We start from the raw sequence: 2,297 nt of genomic DNA on the forward strand, positions 1-2,297 counted from the left end.
AAATTTGTAATTTTTATGAAATCTAATTTATCAATTTTTCCTTTTGTGGATCACACTTTTGGTGTCAAGTCAAAGAATATTTTTCCTAGCCCCCTAGATTATGAAGATTTCCTCTGAGGCATTTATATAAAAGTTTGTGATTGATTTTGAGTTAATTTTGTATAAGGTATAAGACATAAGTCAAGGTTCATTTTTCTGTCTATAAATACCCACTTACTCCAGCGCCTTTGAAAATGCTGTCTTTCCTCCATTGCATTGCTTTTGCACCTTTGTCAAAAAGCAGTTGGAAAATCTTTTATTTCTTGGTTCTTCATTCTGCTTTATTGATCTCTATGTCTCTCTTTTTGCCAATAACATACAGTCTTAATTACCTTAGCTATATAAGTCTTGAAATTGGATAAACTGATTCCTTCCACTTCATTCTTCTTTTTCAAAATTGTTTTAGCTATTCTAGTTCCTTTGCCTTTCATATACATTTTAGAATAATCTTGTGTATATCTACCAAAAATTCTGCTGGGATTTTTGTAGGAATTTTGTTAAACCTGTATATCAATTTGGGAAGAATATCTTTACTGTATTGAATCCTCTAGCTCATGAACATGGTATGCCTCTCCATTTACTTAGGTCTTCCTTGATTTCTTTCATAAACATTTTGTAGTTTTTGGCACAGAAGTCTTCTACATATTTTGTTAGACTTATACCTAAGTACTTGGGTTTTTTAAAGCAAATGTAAATGGTATTTTTACCATTTTGCATTTTTAATTTCTGATGTCCACATGTTTGTTGCTATTATTTAGAAATATAATTGATTTAATATGTTTATCTTATAAACTCTACTATTAGTTTAGAATTTTTTGTAGATTACTTGTGGTTTTAGCTATAGACAGACAATTGTGTCATCAGGACAGTTTTATATCTTTCCTTCCAACATGTCTTTTATTTCCTTTTCTTGCCTCATTGCACTGGCTAGAACTTCTAGCACTATATTGAAAAAGGGCAGTGAGAGTGGACATCCTTGCCTTGTTTTTGATCTTAGGGAAGAAACATTCAGTTTTTCACCATTAAGTATAGTGTTAGCTGTAGGCTATTTGTAGATGCTCTTTATCAAATTGAGGAAGTTTCCTTTTCTTATTTTTTTCTGAGTTTTTAACATAAATGGCTATTGAGTTTTGTCAAATGCGTTTTCTACATTGATTGATTTGATCATGTGATTGTTCTTCATTTACTTGTTAATATTGTGGATTGACTGATTTTTAAGTATTGAGTCATTGCATCTCTAGAATATACCCCAGTTGGTAATGATATATAATTTTTTATATATATTGCTGAATTATTTTTGCTAATATTTTGTTTAAATTGTGTGTTTAAAAAATCATTAAGGATATTTGTCTAGTTTTTTATGGTTTTTTAAAATACTGTTTTTGCCACTCCTATTCAACATAGAATAGAAGTTCTGGCCAGGGCAATCAGGCAAGAAAAAGAAATAAAGGGTATTCACATAGGAAGAGAGAAAGTCAAATTTTCTCTGTTTGCAGATGATGCGATCCTATATCTAGAAAACCCCATCATCCCAACCCAAAACTCCTTAAGCTGATAAGCAACTTCAGCAAAGTCTCAGGATACAAAACCAATGTACAAAAATCATAAGCATTACTATACACCAACAACAGACAAGCAGAGAGCCAAATTATGAATGAACTCCCATTCACAATTGCCACAAAGAGAATAACATACTTAGGAATACAGCTAACAAGGGAAGTGAAGGACCTCTTCAAGGAGAACTACAAACCACTGCTCGAGGAAATAAGAGAGGACACAAACAAATGGAAAAACATTCCATGCTCATGGATAGGAAGAATAAATATTGTGAAAATGGCCATATTGCCCAAAGTAATTTATAGATTCAGTGCTATTCCCATTAAACTACCATTGACATTATTCACAGAATTAGAAAAAAAATGCTTAAGCCAAGTGCAGTAGTGGATGCCTGTAATTCCAGCGTTTTGGGAGGCTGAGGTGGGCGGATCACTTGAGGTCAGGAGTTTGAGACCAGCCTGGCCAACGTGGTGAAACCCTGTCTCTACAAAAAATACAAAAAAAAAAAAAAAATTAGCCAGGCATGGTGGGCGGCTGTAATCTCAGCTACTCAGGAGGCTAGGGCAGGAGAATCACTTGAACCTGGGAGGCAGAGGTTGTAGTGGCTGAGATCATGCCACTGCACTCCAGCCTGGGCAACAGAGCAAGACTCTGTCTCAAACACACACACACACACACACACACACACACACACACAAAAC

Source organism: Homo sapiens, chromosome 12, assembly GCF_000001405.40.
Source record: "Homo sapiens chromosome 12, GRCh38.p14 Primary Assembly".
Taxonomy (NCBI): Eukaryota; Metazoa; Chordata; class Mammalia; order Primates; family Hominidae; genus Homo; species Homo sapiens.